Raw genomic sequence first — 23,231 nt, forward strand, 5'->3', positions numbered from 1 at the left:
CAAATGCTTGGAGCACAGATCATCAGTAAATGAAGGTTCCTGAAAGCTTCTTTTTTTTCATGTTTAAAAGTAGTTATTTAGGTTAGGTATTTGTTGAGATAGCAGCTGCTCAGACTCCTACGTTGAGAATAGGACAGAAAAAAAAATAGTATGTTACACATCTTGGCTCCTTTTATGCTTCCGAGGAAAAAGCAAAGCAACCTTTAAGATTTCTAAACACCATCTGTATCTACTACATGGTTATATTACTGTGTAAATAACATTATATTATTTAATTTGGACTTTTTTTGTGGTCAGTTCCCCCAAAGACAGGTAAATATCAAAGGAAAAACTTAAAGGGTAAAAATATGCAAGCTTGCATGTCTGTTGCTCTATGTGCGCACAAGCATAAATGATTTAAAAATTTTGGACTACAGTCCAGGCATGGCTGTGTGGCACACTGCCAGAATAGGAAACATGACATCCCCTTTCCTATTTATAGGCTTGAAGCTATGGGTATGGTTTAGGTCTGGAAATGACCTGCTGCCTGAGGGCCTGGAAAATAAGTGCATGATCACATGCCTGGCCTTCAGTGGACAGGTAGACTGCATGTCTCTGACTGGTGCTGAAGAAGCAGGAAAAGCAAAACGACTGCAAACAAGGATGAGATGTACCTTGCACATCAGTAGAGAAGGGGTAGACACAGGTATGAAATGATAAATGTAGGGTGTACTAATCCTCCTGAATAGTTAGAAATTGTTTCCTGTGGTTGTTAAGCAATTATCCCCTGCTCGAAGGTGCCTTCGGTGCAGAGGGTTAAAATTCTACTTTTTTTTTTTTTTTTTTGAGACGGAGTCTCGCTCTGTCGCCCAGGCTGGAGTGCAGTGGCGCGATCTCTGATCTCTGCTCACTGTAAGTTCTGCCTCCCGGGTTCACACTATTCTCCTGCCTCAGCTCCCAAGTAGCTGGGACTACAGGCGCCCGCCACCACACCCGGCTAATTTTTTGTATTTTTAGTAGAGACGAGGTTTCACCGTGTTAGCCAGGATGGTCTCGATCTCCTGACCTCGTGATCTGCCTGCCTCGGCCTCCCAAAGTGCGGGGATTACAGGTGTGAGCCACTGCGCCTGGCCTTAAAATTCTTTTATGATGTGGCATGTCTGAGCTACCTGTCCCTTTCCACAGATGACAGCATGCTAGAAGGGTTAGTTTTAGAAGGAAGAGTGGAAACAAATCCAGAGTTTGAGACCTACCTGGAATGGCAGGCAGGATGGGAGGGCTTCAGCTGGGGATGGTGATGGAGGTGGGGGAGTTTTCTGAGCAGTGGGAGGCAAGAGAGGGTGCTGGTTATCCAGAGGTGACAGAGAAGTTGCTAAGAGAGAAGTTGCTAAATATTGATGCAAAACTTACCTTCTTTACAATTTTGCCTGTAGATTACCTTGACAGGAGGCAGTATCAATCACACTGTAGTTACTCAATAAACATTTATTGAATAAATACACAAATTCCCTTGGGACATGAATTTTTCTCTGGCAGATTGTTACATACTCAGACTGGTAAGTATATCCATAAACTATTTTAGTTTTGTTACTTTATTTATATTTGAGACAGGGTCTTGCTCTGTTGCCCAGTGCAGTGGTGTGATCATAGCTAACTGCAGCCTCTACCTCCCGGGCTCAAGTGATCCTCTTGCCTCAGCCTCCCAAAGTGCTGAGATTACAGGCATAAGCCACCACACCGAGCCCTAGTTTTGATATTTTAGACTTATAAGAATAAAACTTTTATTATTCCAGAGTGCCAAATAGGGATATTTCTTCCCATGAAAGCCTGTATTTAGATGACTTTCTCCTCCTTTTAGAGGAGATATTTATTGAAACAGTTTTTCTCCAAGTTGACAAATTTGTCAACAGTGGGCTATAGAAAAAAAATGAACTTCCTAATTAGCCAAGTAGCTTGTGTGTCTGGTAGTTTGAGTGTTAGAAAAGTAGATCAAGTTGGAAACCTAATGATTTCCCCATCGTCAATAAAGATCGTAATCACTGAAGATCTCTGCATATTAGAAAAACATTTTCTAACTCAGTGGGGTCTCATCTGATCTGCATACTTTTACTAGACTAATATTTTTTCCTCCAGTGACAGGGCTTACTTGCATTCTCTACCTTATATTCTTACGTATTTGTAAAATTTAGAAAACCTTGCATAGTATGGACAATGTGAGCTCAGGTTCTTTGCTGCTGTTTTCCATGTTACCTCCTTTAATCCTTATAATACATCTGTGATATAGGTTTTGTTATCCCCATTTTGCCGATCAAAACCAAAGGAGGCCTCCTCTGGAGTGCAAGTTAGAGACCCAGGCCTGATAATCAGAACCTTTTCTTTTTTCTACATGAAAAGCCAAACATACACTTGTCTTATTCTGCTCTACTTTTACACGAGGAGTTACATTTGGAATTTTGAAAACGTCTATTCCATGGTTTACTCTAGCCATTTTCATTGATCTTTTGGAAACAAAATCTTACTTTTTTTTCCACTTAGTGTTCTAGAACTAAAGGGGCCGATGAAAATCTATGTGATCCTGCAAAGAATGACTGGGCTAAAATTAGATAGTATGGAAAACTGAGCCATTATGTTCATATTCAACCGCTAACTGTTTTAGTAAAATATATTGAATGGGCCTGGTGTGGTGGCTCACACCTGTAATCCCAGCACTTTGGGAGGCTGAGGTGGGCAGATCACAAAGTCAGGAGTTCGATGCCAGCCTGGCCAACATGGTGAAACCCCGTCTCTACTAAAAATACAAAAATTAGCTGGGCATGGTGGCAGGTGCCTGTAATCCCAGCTACTCGGGAGGCTGAGGCAGGAGAATCACTGGAACCTGGGAGGCGGAGGTTGCAGGGAGCCGAGATCATGCCATTGCACTGCAGCCTGGGCAACAAGAGCAAAACTCTGTCTCAAAAAAAAAAAAAAAAAAAAAAATATATATATATATATATATATACACACACACACGCATATACACACACACACATACACATACAGGGGCCGGACAAGGTGGCTCATGACTGTAATTTCAGCACTTTGAAAGACTGAGGCGGATGGATGGCTTGAGGTCAGGACTTTGAGACCAACCTGGCCAACATGGTGAAAACCCATCTCTACTAAAAATACAAAAATTAAAAATTAGCTGGGTGTAGTGGTGCATGCCTGTAATCCCAGCTACTCAGGTGGCTAAGGCAGGAGAATTGCTCGAACCTGGAGGTGGAGATTGCAGTGAGCCGAGATGGCACCACTACACTCTAGCCTGGGTGACAGAGTGAGACTCCATCTAAAAAAAATATATATATATATGTGTGTGTGTGTGTGTGTGTGTGTGTGTGTGTGTGTATATTTATATATATAAAATGATACAGGTTGAGTATCCCTTATCCAAAATGCTGGGGATGCAGAAGTGTTCCAGATTTTGGATTTTCTTGGATTTTGAGATGTTTGTATATATATAATAAGATATCTTGGAGGATGAGACCAAAGTCTAAATGGAAAATTTACATGTATTTCTTATATACCTTATGTATCGATCCTGAAGGTAATCCTATACAATATTTTAAATACTTTTATGCATGAAACAAAGTTTTGACTGTGTTTTGACTGCAACTTGTCACATGAGGTCAGATGTGGAATTTTCCACTTGTGGTGTCATGTCAGTGCTCACAAAGTTTCAAATTTTGGGGCATTTTGGATTTTGAATTTTCAGATGAGGGATGCTCAACCTGTACCAAAAGTTGGTGCTAGCCGATTAGGCAGAAAAGGAGTTTATTATGTGGATATTTAGGAGAGAACCAGCTCAAGCCTTAGAGTTTAGGAATAACATCCAACTACAGGCTGCAGAACTGGCCTGATGTGTTCAACCATGGCCCCCACAACTGTCCTACAAGCACTGAGGGACACTGCTGGTGTCCCCACCCAACACTGCCATTTCCGCAGCAGCAACTTGGCCGCCATTTTTGCCATCACAGAGATTCTGTATGTCATTTCCTTCCTCAAGTTGCTCCACTTTGTTTCCCTGAAATTTCCTATACTAATTTTTTTTAAATCCTATATTGATTTCTTTTTATTGTGGTAAGAACATTTAACATGAGATCTACTCTCTTAAGTATTTTTAAGTGCACAATCCAGTATGATTAACTATAGGCACGATATTGTACAGTGGAGCTCTAGAACTTATTCGTCTTGCATAATTGAAAATTTGACCCATTGAGTAGCAACCATCACTCTAGAACAGATTCTTACTGGGAGAGCCTAAGTCATATGCCTGTATTTTGTAAAAGAGATTGCAGAACTACATTTTTTGGGTTCTATCTTAGCAAGGCAGGATTCTTAAAGCTTCACATTCTTATACATGACAAAAGCATTCAAAGGTGCTAGCCACACAGAAATTACTGCAAATGTCCACTATAGTTTTAATGTTGACAAGACTAGAATCCAAATGGTTCATCCCAAAATAACAATGCCTAGTAATTTCAAAATTTCAAATTATTGGTTTGAACACTGTAAAAGCAAAATATAATCTTCAGCAATGATTCCTAAAAATTCCCTTTTCTTTACACTCCTATGCAAAATCCTACAAACTGCAGCTGCCTGTGCCTCCTCCCCTCAAAGCCCCTGGGAAAGCTCCCATTCCTTGTCTAAAGACCCTCTTCCTTCCCTCCTGCTTTCCTCAGCCCTCCTTTCAATTTCCCATTGCAAAAGCTCAAGAACTGGTCTAGTAAGACAGAAGCTGCCTTGGAGGGAGGCAGAGGAAACAGATTAAGGCCAGCAAAACTAGAATTCTCTTTAAGGGAAGGGATGGGAAAGGGAGAGACACTGGTACACTAAAAGCTTGTAACTAGTCACAGGATGGACACTTTTATTAGTGATACTTAAGCACTACTTGGAATAATTGACTGGTCTTAAAAGATGCAGAATGCTGTCAGATCTGGGGTTGAAATGTTGATTGTAGTTCCAAGTGTCTTCTATAGGAAAGCAGCTTGACTAAAGATAATAAATAAAAAGGAGCAGACTCACAGGTATTTTAAAGGAAAGATAAAGACTAGTGTTCACATTTATGAGTCTAAAAAGAACATTAATTTGATTTCAGGTTCCCAGTATAGGATTAATTCTTTAGCAGTAAATTCTACTAAGAGTTACTATAAATTATTGTCACAGATAGTTAGGTGATTCTCGGATGCTCCTAGTGAGCTCAGTGCTTTAGGATATTCTTTAGGATATTCTCATGTGTCTTCCTTGATAGTTTGTGACAAGCGCAATGACACTTCAAATATTCATTCTTTTATGAAATTTTGTTGACCCTGACACAAAGCTATTAAACTGTCTACTCACGTTTACTGTTCCACCAAATGAAAACTTTATACAATATTTCTGATCAGCATTGCTTGAGATAGACAGCTGGATCTAAACACATCCAGCAACACCATTTCTGCTTAGCAGATATCAGATTGTTTCCCTTAGAATACTGAATACAGCTCCAAATTACTGAAGAATTCCATCTAGGACAGCAGGGATTTTGTCTCTGCCAAAAGGATAGCTATCATAGAAATGCAAGAACTGAACCTAACACCAGTAATTTGGTTATTGCAAATTATTTCTTCCACTGGACTGCTGGCTCACATTCATGGAAGGGCTAGGTATTGCTGCTATCTTTCAATTCTTCCCAAATGGGGAAGCATTTACTATTGAGTCAGTTTGAAACTTAGAACTTACTGTTTCAGTGTCATATGGATAGATCATGAAGCTAGCCTCTTAGTTTAACTCATAACTAAATTATAAGGTTAATAATACTCAGTGTATACGCTATAACATCCTAAGTTGTAATTGGATGTGCTTGCCTTGCCTAGCCTGGGCTGGTAAAACAAGGATGGATGCCCTGGGCAGAGACTCCCATTGGGCATCCACTGGGGAAAGAGGAAATAGTCCTAGAAGTCATAACTGCAGAAACAGAGTCAGGGGGCGGAAAATGAGGACTTAATTAGGGTCTGCCTTAGAAGATCTTCAAGCTGCCTTATTTTCATGTGCATTATTCAGACGTCTGAGAAGTTCCTGGTGCAATGTGTCTTGTGAAATATATTAGGCATTCAGTGCAGCTGTTTCCAGGTTTATTATGCAATATTCTGATTCTGATTCATGAAAATATTGCATTAAATACAATCGCTCATGTAATTACTGTGCTTAATCTACAGCATACTTTAATTAACACTGCACAGAATTCTGATTTAATCAATTAGATTTGATCTAGCGCAACTTAGCTGTAAATACTTTTTATGATGCAGCAGCCCAAAATAATTATTGAGACCTAGGGTAATATACAACTCTAAAACTAACACATTTCCTATGTTGAAAAGAGCACATCATAATTTGAACTATAATTTTATTATTTACAAAAGTAAACTATAAAGAGTAGATCATTCCGTTTCCACTAATAGCCTATTAAAAAAAATCTCATTGGGAGTGTTAGAACTTAAAAAATTTGTTTTATTTTTTAAAGATTAAACTCAAGCAAAAGTCACTGCTTTCTGGCTGTGTAAATAGTCTTATTAACATCAATATCTCATGATGTTTCTCAATGTTGTAGGTTAAATTTTATCTCCCCCTTCCCCACAAAGAGATACGTTGAAGTTTTAACTTCCACTACCTCTGAATGTAGGGTCATTGCAGATGTAGTTAGGAATGAGGTCATACTGGAATAAGGTGGGACCATGATCCCATAAGGTGGGACAACAATATGACTGTTGTCTTTCTAAGATGAATGTTAAGGCAGAAACACACAAAGAGAAGGACATGTAAGTCCAAGGCAGAGATTAGTATTTTGTAGCTGCAAGCCAAGGAACGCTAAGGACTTCTGGTAACCAACCAGAAGCTAGGAAGAGGCAAGGGAGGAGTTCTCCTACAGGTTTCACAGCAAACATGGCCCCACTGACATCTTGATTTTGGACTTCCAGACTCCAGAACTGTGAGAGACAAAATGTGTATTTGTTTGGTTTGGTTTGGTTTTAGAGACAGGGTCTCACTCTGTCACCCAGGCTGGAGTATAGTGTCATAATAATAGCTCACTGCAGCCTCGAATTCCTCGTGTCAAGCAATCCTTCTGCTTCAGCCTCCTGAGTAGCTAGGACTACAGGTGCATGCCACCACACCTGGCTAATTTTTTTATTTTTATTTTTTGTAGACACAGGGTCTCACTATGTTGCCCAGGCTAGTCTCACACTCCTGGCCTCAAGCAATCCTCATGCCTCAGCCCCTCAAAGTGCTGGAATTATAGGTGTGAGCCACCACGCTTAGCCAAATTTGTGTTGTTTTAAGCAATCCAATTTGTGGTCCTTGGTTACAGTGGCCCTAAGAAACTAAAATACTTGCTAAAACTGAAGAAGTTGAGAATTGAAACTCAATGTAACCAGAATTTATGAAATTACTTTTTTATACTAGTGAGGAAAAAAGTATCTTGCTGAACTATTTTTAAAAGTGCATGTGCTGTTTTTAGTTGAAGTAAACTTTTTTATTCTTAAGTATTGACATAAATATAACACTTTTGTTCCTCAGACACAGCAGCTAGCAGAGTGCCTTAAACATAAATCATTCCACAGTATATTTTGTGGCTTCATTTAAAAAGATTAAAAATGAAAATAGCCCATAAATATTAAAATACTCTTATAGAATATAAGCCATAAAAGATATACAGAACTACTGAAACACGAGAGTAATCATTGAAAAGAATTTGCATGAGGTTCATCAAGGCAAAATTTCATCTTGAATGTATATATGAATAATAAAGAAACTATATACCCTGCAGTTTTTGGATTATTCAGATTCTATATTTTCTGTTGCCTTATTTTGGCTTTGAAAAAAATACTCTTAGGACAAATACTATGTGATGTGCAGGGCCAAATAAAAGAATATACATTTTAGTTCTTGGCATTAACTTGCTAACAGACCTTACTACACAGATTTGGTAAGGATGAAAATTAAAAATATAATGAAAAAGAAATTTGGGGCTGGGCCCAGTGGCTCATGCCTGTAATCCCAGCACTTTGGGAGGCTGAGGCAGGTGGATCACTTGAGGCCAGGAGTTTGAGACCAGCCTGGCTGCAAAACCCTGTCTCTACTAAAAAAAAAAATACAAAAATTAGCCAGGCATGGTGACGCATGCCTGTAGTCACAGCTACTTGGGAGGCTGAGGCAGGAGAATAGCTTGAACCCGGGAGGTGGAGGTCGCAGTGAGCCAAGATCGTGCCACTGCATTCCAGCCTGGGCAACAGAGCAAGACTGTCTCAAAAACAAAACAAAACAAAACAAAACAAACAAACAAACAAAAAAACAAAAACAAGAAAAATGAATTTGGGGGGGTCATTTGTAAATTCTTTGATTTTTGTTTCCCCTGAATATCCAAGTTGACTACTGTTTTGTTGTCACAAGAGTGATGACATTTGATGGAAAGACATTAGTGGATACCTGCAAAGGATCTGGATGCAGGCAGCTCTCAGAGCAGAGACTATGGCAGCACGCTCCCAACCAGAGGGGAAAGTCTCCTGGCATCAAGTGTCCTGGAAAGCCACCGGGCACTAGCTGATTGCTGTGCATCTTGTCAGTTCCATTGAGAAGCAGCACCTTTCCATTCTTCAAGGTCTTCACAAGCCTCCAGCCCTTGGGATTTTCTGGACATTTTGGTTTTTGCCTATTACACTCGTAGAAATAACTAGTATAATACAACCCCCCACCCCAGATCATTTGAGATGGATGGATGAATTCCACAGATGGAATGAATGGAAGTTTAAATTCCCAGGTGTGGTACTCCTTAGCAGGACCAAGCCTTAAAACTGCCTGAGATCCATTCCTGCAGGTATATAACTGGGACTACAAAATAAAAAGATGACTAAGATTGATAAAACATAGACAAACTAAGATATACTGACTATAATATTCTAGTTTCTGTGCTAAGCACCCCACATATAATATCACTTAATATTTCTTTTAAATTTAATTTTGATATATTTTATAAACATCAGAAAGATTGAGTGGTGAGTAGTTGGGAGCTGGTTTTTAAAAATTATTTTCCTTTAAAAGGAATATACTCTTTGGTATGTATATTTCAATATTAAAAAATAAAACCAGTTAAATAATATGGTAAGGCTAATACTAAAAACAAGTATTTTGTTTCACCTCATCTTACTAATTACAATTATTTACTCCTTACTTATTCCCTCTCATTGTCTGGTAATTTTTAATCTTTTTAGTTATTTCCTCTAGTATTTTCTTTCTTATTTCTAAATAACATACATATATAGATACTTCCTGATTTTTTAGTCTTTTTGTCCATTGACTTCCTTCTTTTTTTTTTTTTTTTTTTGTCCATTGACTTCCTTCTATGGAAGATGAGGATTTACTTTCCTATACCTCCTCTTCTTGCATTCTTGCATACATTTCCCTTCCTCCTATCCTTCTGATATATTTATATCATAATTTTTGGTTAAATCAGTATCTAGGGCTAATATGATTTTGATTATATAAGTATTATTTATAGCTAAGTCACAGAGTATATCATGATTCTATTTCTTCTCTTGTATAACTGTTTCCACTAGTTAATAAATCCATTTTTTTATTTGCTTGGTTTTGTGTGCTTTTATTACTAATTCATACCATGGTTCTCTAATGTAAGTAAAAATAGCTTTTGAACATGTGTAAGTGTTCTATCTGTTGCATATTTATCTTGGGGAATTTCATCTGAAGTCTTCAGTTCTCCTCCTCCTACCCCAAGTTAGTTGTTCTGTAAGTTTGACATATAGCTACTACCTGGGACTTTTCCGTTCACCACGATCTTCAGATGTTTTTATTGGTTTCCCTGTGTTCCTAAATCCTTTGTCTTTCTCTTGCTATACTCCCTTATTTTGGTAGAGCACATTCTCCAGGGTTTTCCTGAGAAAGGTAAGTAATTTAGGGCCTCACTTCTATGAAAATGTTGAGATTCTACCCTTACATTTCAATGACAATTTTTCTAGGTTTAGATTTTTTTTTTTTGTATAATTTTTCCTCAAAAACTCTGACGGCATTTCTCCATTGCCTTTTGGCTGTAATGGTGTTGTTGAGCAGCTACAGGCTACTCTAGTCCTCATTCTGTTGTCAGTGTCCCCCACCCTCCAACACCCCAGAAGTTTTTAGGCTCATCTCTTTATCCTGGTGTTCATGATATGCTCTGGTCAGGCAAATCCTCTAAGAGGATTTGTATTTGCTTGTACCAAATGCTTAGGGGGTATAGCCAGTCTGGGATTAAACTGAATTAAACTCTTGGCTAGAGGGTTATCAGACCATTTAGATAGTCTGATTTTGGACCACAAACTTGTGTGAGGCTGCCTCATGGTTCCAAATTCTCAGTGGCAATTTCTCTCTTCTCCACTCTTGCCAAAATTTGAAATGGTCAGTTTTTCTTGTGGCCCATTATGAGTACTATGGAGGCTTATTTCTAATTTACCCTTACACTGAAGGTATCATTCTTTGGAATCCCAGAATTCTGGTAGAAGTAGAATCTATTAGACTTCCCAACTTGCAGTAGCCCTGGGCTTGGCTCTCTGGCCCCATTCCTCAAAATGCCCACACTCAGCTGGTTAGACAAACACTGTCAGTATAACAGTGGTCCATTTGCCTTTCTAGATTTCTTCAATCAATACCTGGCTGGCCTGGATTTCCTTTTTTTGTCTGATAACTTTAAGATGATTTTCTAAAAATTATATATATTTTTTCTTCCTGTTTTTTTTTTTTTTTTTTTTTTTTTTTTTTGAGACAGGGTCTCACTCTGTTGCCCAGGCTGGAGTGCAGTGGTGCAGTCATGGCTCACTGGAGCCTCAAACTCTCCAGGCTCAAGTGATCCTCCCACCTCAGCCTCCCAGGTAGCTGGGACTGCAGGAATGTGCATACCTGACTAATTTTTTTTTTCTTCTATATCGTGTAGTGATGGGGTTTCACCATGTTGCCCAGGCTGATCTTGAACTCCTGGGCTCAAGTGATCTTCCCACCTTGGCCTCCCAAAATATTGGGATCACAGGTATAATTGTGATTGGGATCACTGTGCCTGGCCTAAGATATGATATTTTATCTAGAAGTTTTAGTTATTTCCAGCAGTCCAGATACCTATCTTGTCATTGCCTTAGAAATGGAAGTCTATGATTTTAAATATATTTCTAAGCCTCAACTTCCTCATTTGAAAAATGAGGATAGTTTATACCTCATAGTATTGTAGTATTGTGGGGAATAAGTGAGATGATTAGTGTAAAGCTCTTAATTCTGTGCCTGTACTTCAATTAATGTTTACTTATTTTTTTAAAAAATGGCATTCTCAGAGTCTAAACATATGTTGCTCTATCTTGCTGTATTTTTATTCATACATGGCACACCTAATACCAGGAAGTGAAGATGTGAATAATCTAATGTTCTAATAAATTTTATATTATATATATATGAGACGGAGTATTGCTCTGTCATGCGATCTCAGCTCACTGCAACCTCTGCCTCCTGGGTTCAAGCGATTCTCCTGCCTCAGTTTCCTGAGTAGCTGGGACTACAGGTGTGCGCCACCACGCCCAGCTAATTTTTGTATTTTTAGTAGAGACAGGGTTTCACCATGTTGGCCAGGATGGTCTTGAACTCTTGACCTCATCATCTGCCCGCCTCAGCCCAAATTGCTGGAATTACAGGTGTGAGCCACCGCGCCCGGCCTATGTTTATTACATTAAGAAGCATAGTTGTTTTTTTCCATTTCATAATTTTCCATTTCCAATGAGAACCAAGTAATTAAACATCATTACTAGCCTAGATCCTAATTGAGGACATGAGATTTATTGAAGGGAAATCCTCAATTAATATGAACATTTCTTGAGAAATGGGAAATTTGAAAACATTCCCTCCCACCATAATCAAATAAGACTCTAAAAGGATAGAAAATGGATGCTTTTTCTTATAACAAACTAGGCTATGCCCTGTTTTTTACTGTTTTCTATTGCCACAAAGTCAAATTGCGTGGGGTCTTTTTAAAGTCCATAGACATGTTCACTCTAAGCAGCTGCCCTTCTCTTTGAAAACAATTTCTATCCAGGGCCAAGTAGGCCTTGCTCAGAATCCTATGGCAGTTGACCTGAGCCTTGGGCTGTCTCAGGGACATTTCTTTAGCAGGTGCATTGTGATATTTTTCACAGCCAGCATAGTTTCTGTACAGGTGGGTTTGATGAGCATCTCTGGGAGTAAAAATCCAAAATATCCAGTGTCACGTAGTTCGAAAGCAAATGCATAAGGTATTCCATTTTTGTAGGCCCAATCCATTGAGCTACCAGAGCTCACATCTAAAAGTTAAAACAAAAAAAAAAAGATCAGCCTCACTAAAGAGTCAGTATAATTTTCTAAATGTATATACTATAAAGTATCCGCTTATTAAGCTTTACTAAATCCTTCCAATTAAATGCTGTTTCAATAAGAATGATTTAACAGGAGTTCCTTGGCATCTGGTGCATGGAACTTATAAATCATCCCTTCAACCATCTTTAAGGATCCAGTCTACGTGTGAATGCCTTACCAGCACGAAGACTAAAATTTCTCAACCTCAATTCCAAAAACGTTTATGTTCATCCCCACTTCATTCACCTATAAACAACCTATACTGAGAACTCTTTTTGTTTTTAGTTATCACTCAGTTCTTCTCCACTTCAGTGTCTAGAATATTGAAATTGTGTTCCCAGAAATGTCTTTTTTTTTTTGAGACGGAGTCTCACTCTGTCACCCAGGCTGGAGTGCAGTGTCACAATCTTGGCTCACTGCAACCTCCGCCTCCTGGGTTCAAGTGATTCTCCTGCCTCAGCCTCCTGAGTAACTGGGATTACAGGCCCGCGCCACCATGCCCAGCTAATTTTTGTATTTGTAGTAGAGACAGGGTTTTACCATGTTGACCACGTTGGCCTTGAACTCCTGGGCTCAACTGATCCTCCCGCCTTGGCCTCCCAAAGTGCTGGGATTACAGGCGTGAGCCACTGTGCCTGGCCCCAGAAAACCTCCTTATTTCTTCCACCTCCCTGTGTTTCCACTCCGGCTTAACCTATTCTGTGCCTTTACTTAGATTGGTATTTTCCAGATTCCTCCGTTTTCTGGTAGTTTCATTTGATTCTCTAGTTGGCCATGGCCAATTATTTCACTGAATTTTTCTCCAGACCCTCAACATGCCTCATTCCTGTCCTTTTCCTGCTTTTGTTTGGCTCATCCTCAACCCCTGGCCCAGTTTCTCTGCTTCCACTAGGTGAGGGAGCTAGAGAAAGTCTTTGCTGAGTAGAGATACTATAAAGTCACACTACCTCATTACTGAAGTCTTTTTCTGCCCCCATGTTGCTGTAGGTTCCTTTTCTAGTTCTCTACTTACTGAAACTTTCCCATTCTCTTCTCATCTTCATGTTACACTGTCCCCACTACTCTAGATCAGGGGTCCCCAACCCCCAGGCCACAGACTGGTACTGGTATGATTTACAAGTTCCATGCACTGGTACTGGTCCGAGGCCTGTTAGGACTTGGGCTGCACAGTGGGAAGTGAGTGGTGGGTGAGCCAGTGAAGCTTCACCTGTATTTACAGTCACTCGCTATCGCTTGCATTACTGCCTGAGCTCTGCCTCCTGTCAGATCAGTGGCAGCATTAGATTCTCATAGGAACATGAACCCTATCATGGACAGCACATGCGAGGGATCTAGGTTGTGCATTCCTTCTAAGAATCTTATGCCTGATGATCTGTCACTGTCTCCCATCACCCCTAGATGGGACTGTCTAATTGCAGGAAAACAAACTCAGGGCTCCCAGTGATTCTACATTATGGTGAATTACATAATTATTTCATTATATATTACAGTGTAATAATAATGGAAATAAAGTGCGCAATGAATGTAATGCATTTGAATCATCCTAAAACCATTCCTCCCCCACCCCACCCCTGTCCGTGGAATAACTGTCTTCCATGAAACCGGTCCCTGGTGCCAAAAAGGTTGGGGACTGCTGCTGTAGATGATTGCCCCATTGCCTCCTCTACTGACATTAGAGCCCTCTGACTTTCCCCCGTTGAGCTCAGAGGAAGAAATGCTCCCTGTCTTTTACATGCGTCACCTCTTGATACTGTTGGTTATTGTCGTCTCTGGTAGTGAAAGGCCCTTCTCCATGACTTTGTGTTATTAATTATGCATCTGCATTGGCCAAAGTACTCAAGGACCCCTTTCCTATAGCACTTCCTTCACATTATCCTACCATATGCCCTTGGTTACCCTCTTCTTTTTCCTCTTTCTTTTGCTTTAGAACCCGAGGGAGAACCTATATATACTGTGTCTACATCCTCAACCACTTTCAATCTGGCTATTGCCTCTACCCGTGTATTAAACCTTCTTTTTGAAGATTACCAATGACCTCAGGCCTAGCCTCTTTTTCTGTTTTTTGTTTTCCCCTCAGATCCCGCTTTCAAGGTCTCCACAGCCTTTAACACAGCTGACAAGCCCTCTGGCTACTCTCTCCTTCTGGCTCCTGTGACCTCACACTCTCTAGCTTTTCAGCAGAGTTGAAAGCTGGGAACTAGAGGTAGCCTGCAGCCTGGGCTGTATCTGATCCTACCACATAGTGGGTAACTTCTCTGTGCCTCAGTCTCCCTTTTTGAAAAAGAGACTGATAATACAGTACCTGCATAACATAGGGTTGTTGGGAAAATTAAATAAAGTAATAAATCACTGGAAAGTACTCAAGATATATTAACTTATTATTTTGCCTCTTTATATCCTCAAGTGCATATGTAGTTTTTAGTCTAACAGGCTTTTAATAATCATTCATTAAATGAATAAATGTTTCATGGAAAAATCTTTGTATACATTTTTCCTGAAATTTATATAATCCAGCTTGAGATAATCCTATTATTATTATTATTATTAAATTTTCAAAGCATGGTCATTTACTCAAAAAATAACGCTTTTATGCTATTTTTCCTAGGACAAGTTAGGATGGAATTATTATTATTATTGTTATTTTTTCTTGAGATGGAGTCTCCCTCTGGCACCCAGGCTGGAGTGCAGTGGTGCAATCTTGACTCACTGCAACCTCTGTCCCCCTGGTTCAAGAGATTCTCCTGCCTCAGTCAACTGAGTAGCTGGGATTACAGGCGCACACCGCCATGCCCAGCTAATTTTTTGTATTTTTAGTAGAGATGGGGTTTCACCATGTTAGCCAGGCTGGTCTCAAACTCCTGCTCAGGTGATCCACCCACCTCGGCCTTCCAAAGTGCTGGGATTATAGGCGTGAGCCACTGTGCCAGGCCAGAGATGGAATAATTATGTAAAGATGACAATTAAAATGACTCTTCTGCTTCTCAGATTCCCTTTGCTTCAGTTAAGGACAGAAAATAGGCTGTGGCTTCAGTGTCCCTCTGGTTAGGGTACATTGGAACTACAAATAGTAGTCATAGTAGCCAAGTCAGAGACAATATGTGCCAACAGTTACATCACGGTGATGTGACAGCCTCATTTCTTTTTCTTTTTCTTTTCTTTTTTTTTTTTTTTGAAACAGAATCTCGCTCTGTCACCCAGGCTGGAGTGCAATGGCACCATCTTGGCTCACTGCAATCTCTGCTCCTGGGGTTCAAGAGATTCTCCTGCCTCAGCCTCCTGATTAGCTGTGATTACAGGCACCCGCTACCTCTGCCTCCCTGATTCAAGCGATTCTCCTGCCTCAGCCAACTGGGTAGCTGGGATTACAGGTGCATGCCACTATGCCCAGCTAATTTTTGTCTTTTTAGTAGATAAGGGGTTTTGCCATGTTGGCCCGGCTGGTCTAGAACTCCTGACCTCAGATGATCCACCCGCTTTGGCCTTGCAAAGTGCTAGGATTGCAGGCGTGAGCCGCCGCATCCGGCCAACAGCCTCATTTCTATGGTAATAGACTGTTCTCAGTAAATATAATACTCTGACTGTGACTCTATATGAAGTTGAAAAGGTAAATGGTTAGTAAGATTAAAAAACGTTAATGTTTAAAAATGTTTATATATATTATGTTGGCATTAATTGGTAATATGATTGTTTAAATACAGTTTTTTTTTTTCCCTTTCAAGGTGGCCACTGAAAAACAGTTCTAAAAAGGTCAACATGAGACCAATGATCATGGACTTTGAAAAAATAAACAAAACTATTGATACTCCTGACATTCTCATTATTAGAATAAACTTATTTGTCAATGTTAATTGACAAACCAAGTGTTTGTTCTGAAGGCTGAAGAAAGTGAGTGGTAAAACATTAGGAATACAATGATAGGTAGATTAAAGAAGTCAAGGAGAACTTTGCTACCTTAATCAGAAGCATAATCAGATGTCACTACCTACACATATACATACAACATGTGTGTGTTTACCTTCATTTGCACACACCGACATTCACACATACATGATTTCTCACTAGATTTTCCAAGTCATATAGTGAATAAATTTTAGAGTTTAAAAGGCCCTGAATCCAATTCTTGTTACAGTTGTGGAAACTGAGGCCCAGGATTAATAAATATTTTGGCCTGGTTGACAGACCTGGCAGAATTAGGACTACAATGCCCATACTATGATTCTTTGTCGAAGTTCTTGCCATATACCCACTTGGAAGGACATGCCATCCCAAAATAAGCCAGATTGATATGTTAATTGTTGAAAACATTGGAGATTGTAGTTTCAGAAAGGGTGAGCTGACTTGTTTCTTCCTGCATGCAGCAAACAGTAAAGATTCCTCGAGGAGGGTTATTCTCACTATAAGAAGGGTGAGAAAATAGCCCTTTATCACCACAGACTTGAATTCAAGGCTGCAGTGGACCTAACAACAAAGCAACCCTTATCTTCCATTGGTTTTACATACCCCCTATTTATTTCCTAGTGACTCCCCTAGAAAATTTGCTGCCCTTAGCCAGATTTTTTTGTCCTGTTATTTATTCTCAAATTTATCGTTCCTTGTCCAAAAAGTATAAAATCATCTTGCTTTGGCCACTTCTTTGGACTTCACTCTGTTATGAAGATCCTGTACACATAGAATTAATAAAATTTGTATACTTTTCTCTTGTTTAACCTGCCTGGTGTCAATTTGGTTTCCAGATCCAGCTGAAGAACCTACGTGGAGTGAAAGATGGGAGATGAGGGGGGGTTGGAAGTGATCTCTGGCTCTGCTATACATTTTTCTCCATGTAAAAAAAAGAAATACTTTTACATCATCTTTTAAGGGATAATTCAATGGACGGTGCTACATAAGAAACAGCATTTCATAACAAGAACGGTGGCAGAAAGGAGTAAAAGGGAAGCAGTTGTAGGGCTGAAACATTTACCTCATTATCTTCCCAAGGCCCGTTTCCACCCTTGTAGTAGTTAGAATTGCTTAAGGAGCCCATTTTGGTATGTTCTACTCTCATAAGCTCTCAAATGAGCTTGTAGTCGTTACTGCACACTTAGCATATTCTCTGCTTTGAATTTATTTAAATGGGTACAGTGATTTCTGTCAAGCTGTGTAAAACGAATCAGATATAAACTCCTTCTATTTTCCTCAGCTAATTTGATAGTCAAAATTTTCACTTTAGGGAGAACACACTTTCTCCCTTCTAAAAGGAAGTCATGATACAGGATATTGGTTCAAGAGAGAGGATTCTAACACAATGTACGCAGGAAACTTACACAACGTTGTGGAGGCTGGTCCATATCTGTATCGTACCCCGTATACTGACTGAAGTGCATTCACAGCTTTATAAGCTGCAGATTCCTATGAGGGAAAATGGGGAAATTTTATATATTGTTGCATTGAAACTTTTAGATACACTGCTATGTTGTTTGAGCCTCATCGATCATCACCAGATGGCTTCATTGGTTAAGATCTATATTCATTAATAATATTATATTACTCTTATGTCACACGCTACATTTTGCAACATGTTTTAGAACACATCATTTCATTGATCTCACAACAAACCAGTGATCAATAATATTTTCATTTTATAGATGAGAGAAGGAAGGCTCAGCAAGGTTAAATGGGTACGCAGAATGGTTGAGCTAAGTACTCATATTTTCTGAGGCTGACTTAGTGTTCCGTTCCTTGACTTTAGTTCAAGGCAACAATTTCTTTCTTTTTTTTTTGGAAGGAGTCTCGCTCTGTCGCCCAGGCTGGAGTGCAATGGCGCGATCTCTGCTCACTGCAACCTCCACCTCCTGGGTTCAAGCGATTCCCCTGCCTCAGCCTCCTGAGTAGCTGGGACTACAAGCGCGTGCCACCACGCCTTGCTATTTTTTTGTATTCTTAGTATACATGGGGTTTCACCGTGTTAGCCAGGATGGTCTCGATCTCCTGGCCTTGTGATCGGCCCACCTCGGCCTCCCAAAGTGCTGGTACTACAGACATGAGTCACCGCACCCGGCCAGGGATACCTATTTCTATAAGTTACAAAATACTTGGCCGGGCAGGGACCATGTCGGTCTCAGTCATAGCTCACAACCAGTACTTAGCAATGTGCCTGTATACAACAGATGCTTGATCAATATTTCTTACATGAATGTTGAATAAGCATAAATCTGAAAGAGTATTAAGATAATTACATTGATTCTTAAGTATATATTTCACTGGGTATGTACAAGGTATTTAGAACACATCTGAATCAATTAAGAAACCCCTTAATTCAGTAGGAATGACTTCTCTTAATGCTATGTGCTTATCCTCACTAGGAATGGAAACAACTTCAGAATGCTCATGACTTCTCAGGTTACATATGCCTCCCACAGATCTTACACAGGTACTGCGAAGAGGTAGAAAGTCTAAGGTGGAACTTTTCCTAAGAATGGCAAAAATTAGGAAAAATATTCAACACAATCGAAATACTAAAAGATGGATATTCTAACATGAACTAGAATGATACTCACTATCCTTTAAATATGGTATAAAAACACTGGTTTCAACAAGGAGTTAGAGAAGTATTACATGACAAATGAGAGGAAAAGAAGTATGTTGAAACCAGAATACAACTCTCCGATTTCAGCTTGCTTATGAATAATTTAATACTTAAATTGGAGCACTCCGGACAACGTGGTGGTGTGTGCTGGACTGAGTTTCAGGTTGCTGTCCTCATTCAGCTCAGAAATGCATGAGGCAGTATTTGCAGCAAATGCCACCATTTGTGGATATTCAGGGACCAGGCTCCAGAAACTGGCAGACTGTTTACTATTGATCTCACTGACGATGACATTCTTCTCATGGGAGCCAACAGAAAAGGAATATAAACACCACAATTAAATACCTTTATGGAGATTGTTCTAAGATTTTAACATCTTCTCCAACGGTCTCAGCAATATTCCATGGCAAGGGCAGATATTTCTACATTCAGAAGATTATTTCATTCTGCTAGTAAGGGAACTTTGCTTCTCATTATTTAGGCTGACTAAACCCAAGGGCAAAAAAAATCTAAGAAAAAAAAAGATAATCACTTTGCCTATTTACACAAAGGAGATGCACAGTTTTAGCCTTTTGAGCTCACTGCACCTCTGCCACTTGGGTACTGGTGCGTGTTGACTAGGGTTTAGATGTGATCTCTCCACAAAAATAAAAACTTCATCATTTTTTCCAAGAATTATTTTCCAGGGGGCCACAGCTAGACACCTATTTGAAAGGACTGATTTCAGTGATCCCTCTTTTTTCTACTGTATCCTGTTTCCAATTGTCAAAAAGTACCTAGGCATCAGTTATTGGTGTTCAGCTAAGTAAATGGTATATATATATGTGTGTGTGTGTGTGTGTGTGTGTGTGTGTGTGTGTGTGTATATATTTTGTTTTTTTTTTTTTTTAGACAGAGTTTTGCTCTTGTCGCCCAGGCTGGAGTGCAATGGCGTGATCTCGGCTTACTGCAACCTCTGCCTACCAGGTTCAAGTCATTCTCCTGCCTTAGCCTCCCAAGTAGCTGGGATTACAGGCACCCGCGACCACGCCTGGCTAATTTTTGTATTTTTAGTAGAGATGGGGTTTCACCATGTTGGTCAGGCTGGTCTCAAACTCCTGACCTCAGGTGATCTGATCTGCCTGCCTTGGCCTCCCAAAATAGTATATATTTTTATTTAAATATTTCCATATTTAAAGCAACTTAATGACTAAAAAACATTGCCAGAAATACCGAATCTTACATATTGATGGAATGTTTTTAAACAATTTTCATCAAATTTAATGGTTTCTGCTTAACATTCAGGGATTGTCTAGTTCCTGAGAATTATAACCATGATTTTAGTGACCAAGCTTATGATTAACACTCTCCAGGATTTCTCAACAATGGCATTGTTGACATCTTAGACGGAATAATTCTTTGCTGTGGGTTCTGTCCTGTGCACTGCAGGGTGTTTAGCACCATCCTTGGCCTATACCTGCTAGATGCCAGTAGCATCCCCCCACCCTGTTGTGCCAATCAAAAATGTCTCTAGACATTGCCAGATGTCCATGGGGAAGCAAATTCATCTTTTTTTTTTCTTTCCTTTCTTTGAGACAGGGTCTCACTCTGTCACCCAGGTCAGAGTGCAGTAGCATAACCTTAGCTTACTGTAACCTCTGCCTCCTGGACTCAAGCAATCCTCTCACCTCTGCCTCCTGAGTTGCTGGGACTACAGGTATGCACCACTATGCCTGGCTAATTTTTAAAAATATTTTGTAGAGATGAGGTCCCACTATATTACCTAGGCTGGTCTTGAACTCCTGGGCCCAAGCAATCCTCCAGCCTGGGCCTCCCAAAGTGCTGGGATTATAGGCACTAATGATCCATTTTATGCCACATGTTCCAATCCAAGACAAAGGAAAATAGGCTTAACTTAAGGTGGGAAGATAAAATACGAAGAACATTCTCATATGATAATTTTTTTTTTTCAGATGGAGTCTCACTCTGTTGCCCAGGCTGGAATGCAGTGATGCCATCTTGGCTCACTGCAAACCTCCACCTCCCAGGTTCAAGTGATTCTCCTGCCTCAGCCTCCCAAGTAGCTGGGACTACAGGTGTCTGCCACCAGGCCCGGCTAATTTTTGTATTTTTTATTTTAGAGATGGGGTTAAACCATGTTGCCCAGGCTGCTCTCGAACTCCTGTCAGCTTGGCCTCCCAAAGTGCTGGGATTACAGGCATCAGCCACTGTGCCCAGCCCTCATACAATAATTTTTATATATTATATAGTCCACATCATCTGTTGTATGAATATAAACAGACACAGTGCCCACGTAAAAAAAAGTCTGAACATTTGCCTAAAGGAATACTGTGATACAAATTGTTAGGGTGCCGGGTCAACAAAAACAACAGCTATAGCAGCAGCAGCAACAAAAACAAAGTATATTTGACCTGCAGAGCAGCTAAAGAATAGCAGTATAGAATATAATTATCACTTTTACAATAGTTCTAAAGAGGTGGAATTTGCTCAGAATTCTTGGAATGCCAAGAACAAAATTCTCTTTTTTGGACAGAATAAAAGTCTTCCCCAGGCCCTCCACAAGTCTTAGACATCTAGATCAGAAATTCCTAAAGCCCCAAGCAATTGGTGCAGGATTTGGAGTTTAAGGTGTAGGGAGAAAGGGAATGATTCTCTTTAATAAAATTTTAAATTCAGGTATAACATTGTGGTATAATAAAAAATAAATACTTGGTCCTTGTCCTGGTTCTTGGCACACAGTTTCTAAAAACTCCTGGCATCTCCAGAGTGCTAAGGGTGTCTTTTGGATGGTAATGAGATGACTTGGGGCTGGAGGCCGCTAAGTAGCTTCAGGATGCAGGGTGCTGCCAGAAAGACCAAACTTTGTGATTAGAGAGTTGGAACTTTTAGCTCCATCCTTCACCCTCTGAGGAGGAGAGAGAGGCCAGAGATTGAGTCCAAACTCCAATGGCTAATGATTTAATCAATTAGACCTATGTAATGAAATCGTCATGAATACCCCTAAACAGCAGGGTTTGGAGAGCGTTTGGATTAATGAGCACTGGATGTGCTGGGAGGTTGATGCACCCAGAGAACGCACGGAAGCCCTGAGCCCCTTCCCCCATACATTGCCGTATGCTTCTCTTCCATTTGGCGATTCCTGAGTTGTGTGATTGATTGATTGATTGTTAAGACAGGGTCTCACTCTGTCTCCCTGGCTGCAGGGCAGTGGCATGAACATGTCTCACTGCAGCCCTGACCTCATGAGCTCAAGTGATCCTCCTGTTCCAGCCTCCTGAGTAGCTGGGATCACAGGTGTGTGCCACCACCACACCTGGCTAATTTTTAATTTTTTTGTAGAGATGGGCATCTCACCATGTTGTGCAGGCTGGTCTCAAATGTCTGGACTCAAATGATCCACCTGTCTGGGCCTCCCAAAGTACTTGGATTATAGGAGCGAGCCACTGTATCCAGCCAATTGTGTATCTTAAATGAACAGGTGATAGTATGCAAAGCTCTTTCCTGAGCTCTGTGAGTCATTCTAGTGAATTATCAAACCAGAGGTGGGCTGGTAGGAACCTGCGACTCTGCAGCCAAGTCAGACAGGAATGTGGTTAACTTGGGAACCCCCTACTTGCTACTGGTGTCTGAAGTGAGGGCAGTCATGTGGGACTGAGTCCTTAAACCTGTGGAGTCTGATGCTAACTCTGGGTAGTCAGTGACCAAATGGAATTGAATTGTTGGACACCCAAGTGGTGTTGGAGAGGTGGTACTGGAAAAAGACATCACACATTTGGTGTCAAGAGGCCAAAAAAGCCCTAAAATATACACGTAGAAGAGTACACTGTTTTTGAGTTGATTGCTCAACAAACGATCACAAATTGAATACATTCATGTAACCACCATCCAGGTCAAGGAATAGAACTTCAGCAGCAACCCAATTTCCTCCCAATCACTGCACCCCCTCCTTTTCCCCAGAGGTAAGTACCACCTGACTTCTAGCACTGTATATTAGTTTTTCTTGGTTTTTGAACTTTATAGGCTTTTAGATGCTATAGGCTCTGAAACGACTCACTTCATGATGACTGATGCCCTATAGTGAATAGCTTGTTGGGTTTCTGATATAAGGAGAGAAAGAAACTCTGCTTTTTCATTTTTAAGTAATCTTATGCCTGAACGTCTGTTCATTCTTAGTACTAACTTGTCAGATACATACCCAAAGACTTAGTAGCATTAAGCAAATAGCACTTATAAATTAAAACCTGCTTTTAATTAATGAGAA

At 40.1% G+C, this 23,231-nt stretch overlaps 1 protein-coding gene and 1 long non-coding RNA gene across 3 annotated transcripts in view, besides 1 other annotated feature; one reads left to right on the plus strand and one right to left on the minus strand.

Annotated features, from left to right (window-relative positions):
- The window catches only part of ARFGEF1-DT (ARFGEF1 divergent transcript), a 148,035-nt gene that overhangs the window by 66,505 nt on the left and 58,299 nt on the right, over positions 1–23,231 (plus strand). The window lies entirely within an intron of this gene.
- CPA6 (carboxypeptidase A6) overlaps positions 11,700–23,231 on the minus strand; it is a 324,323-nt gene continuing 312,791 nt past the window's right edge. For both annotated transcript variants that reach the window (NM_020361.5, XM_017013646.2), the window contains exons 10-11: positions 17,709–17,793; positions 11,700–12,353 (exon numbers count right to left, since the gene is read on the minus strand). In NM_020361.5, coding sequence (NP_065094.3) covers positions 12,166–12,353; positions 17,709–17,793 — 273 coding nt within the window. In that variant the 3' untranslated portion in view covers positions 11,700–12,165. The remainder of the gene's footprint in view (positions 12,354–17,708; positions 17,794–23,231) is intronic.
- Positions 22,595–22,644: an enhancer, noted in NCBI's record as "active region_27499". NCBI's record gives its function as "activates an Ori minimal core promoter by ATAC-STARR-seq in GM12878 lymphoblastoid cells {active_cell/tissue: GM12878}" and the evidence as "EXISTENCE:reporter gene assay evidence [ECO:0000049][PMID:35858748]".

Source organism: Homo sapiens, chromosome 8 (genome assembly GCF_000001405.40).
Source record: "Homo sapiens chromosome 8, GRCh38.p14 Primary Assembly".
In the NCBI taxonomy this organism is placed as follows: domain Eukaryota; kingdom Metazoa; phylum Chordata; class Mammalia; order Primates; family Hominidae; genus Homo; species Homo sapiens.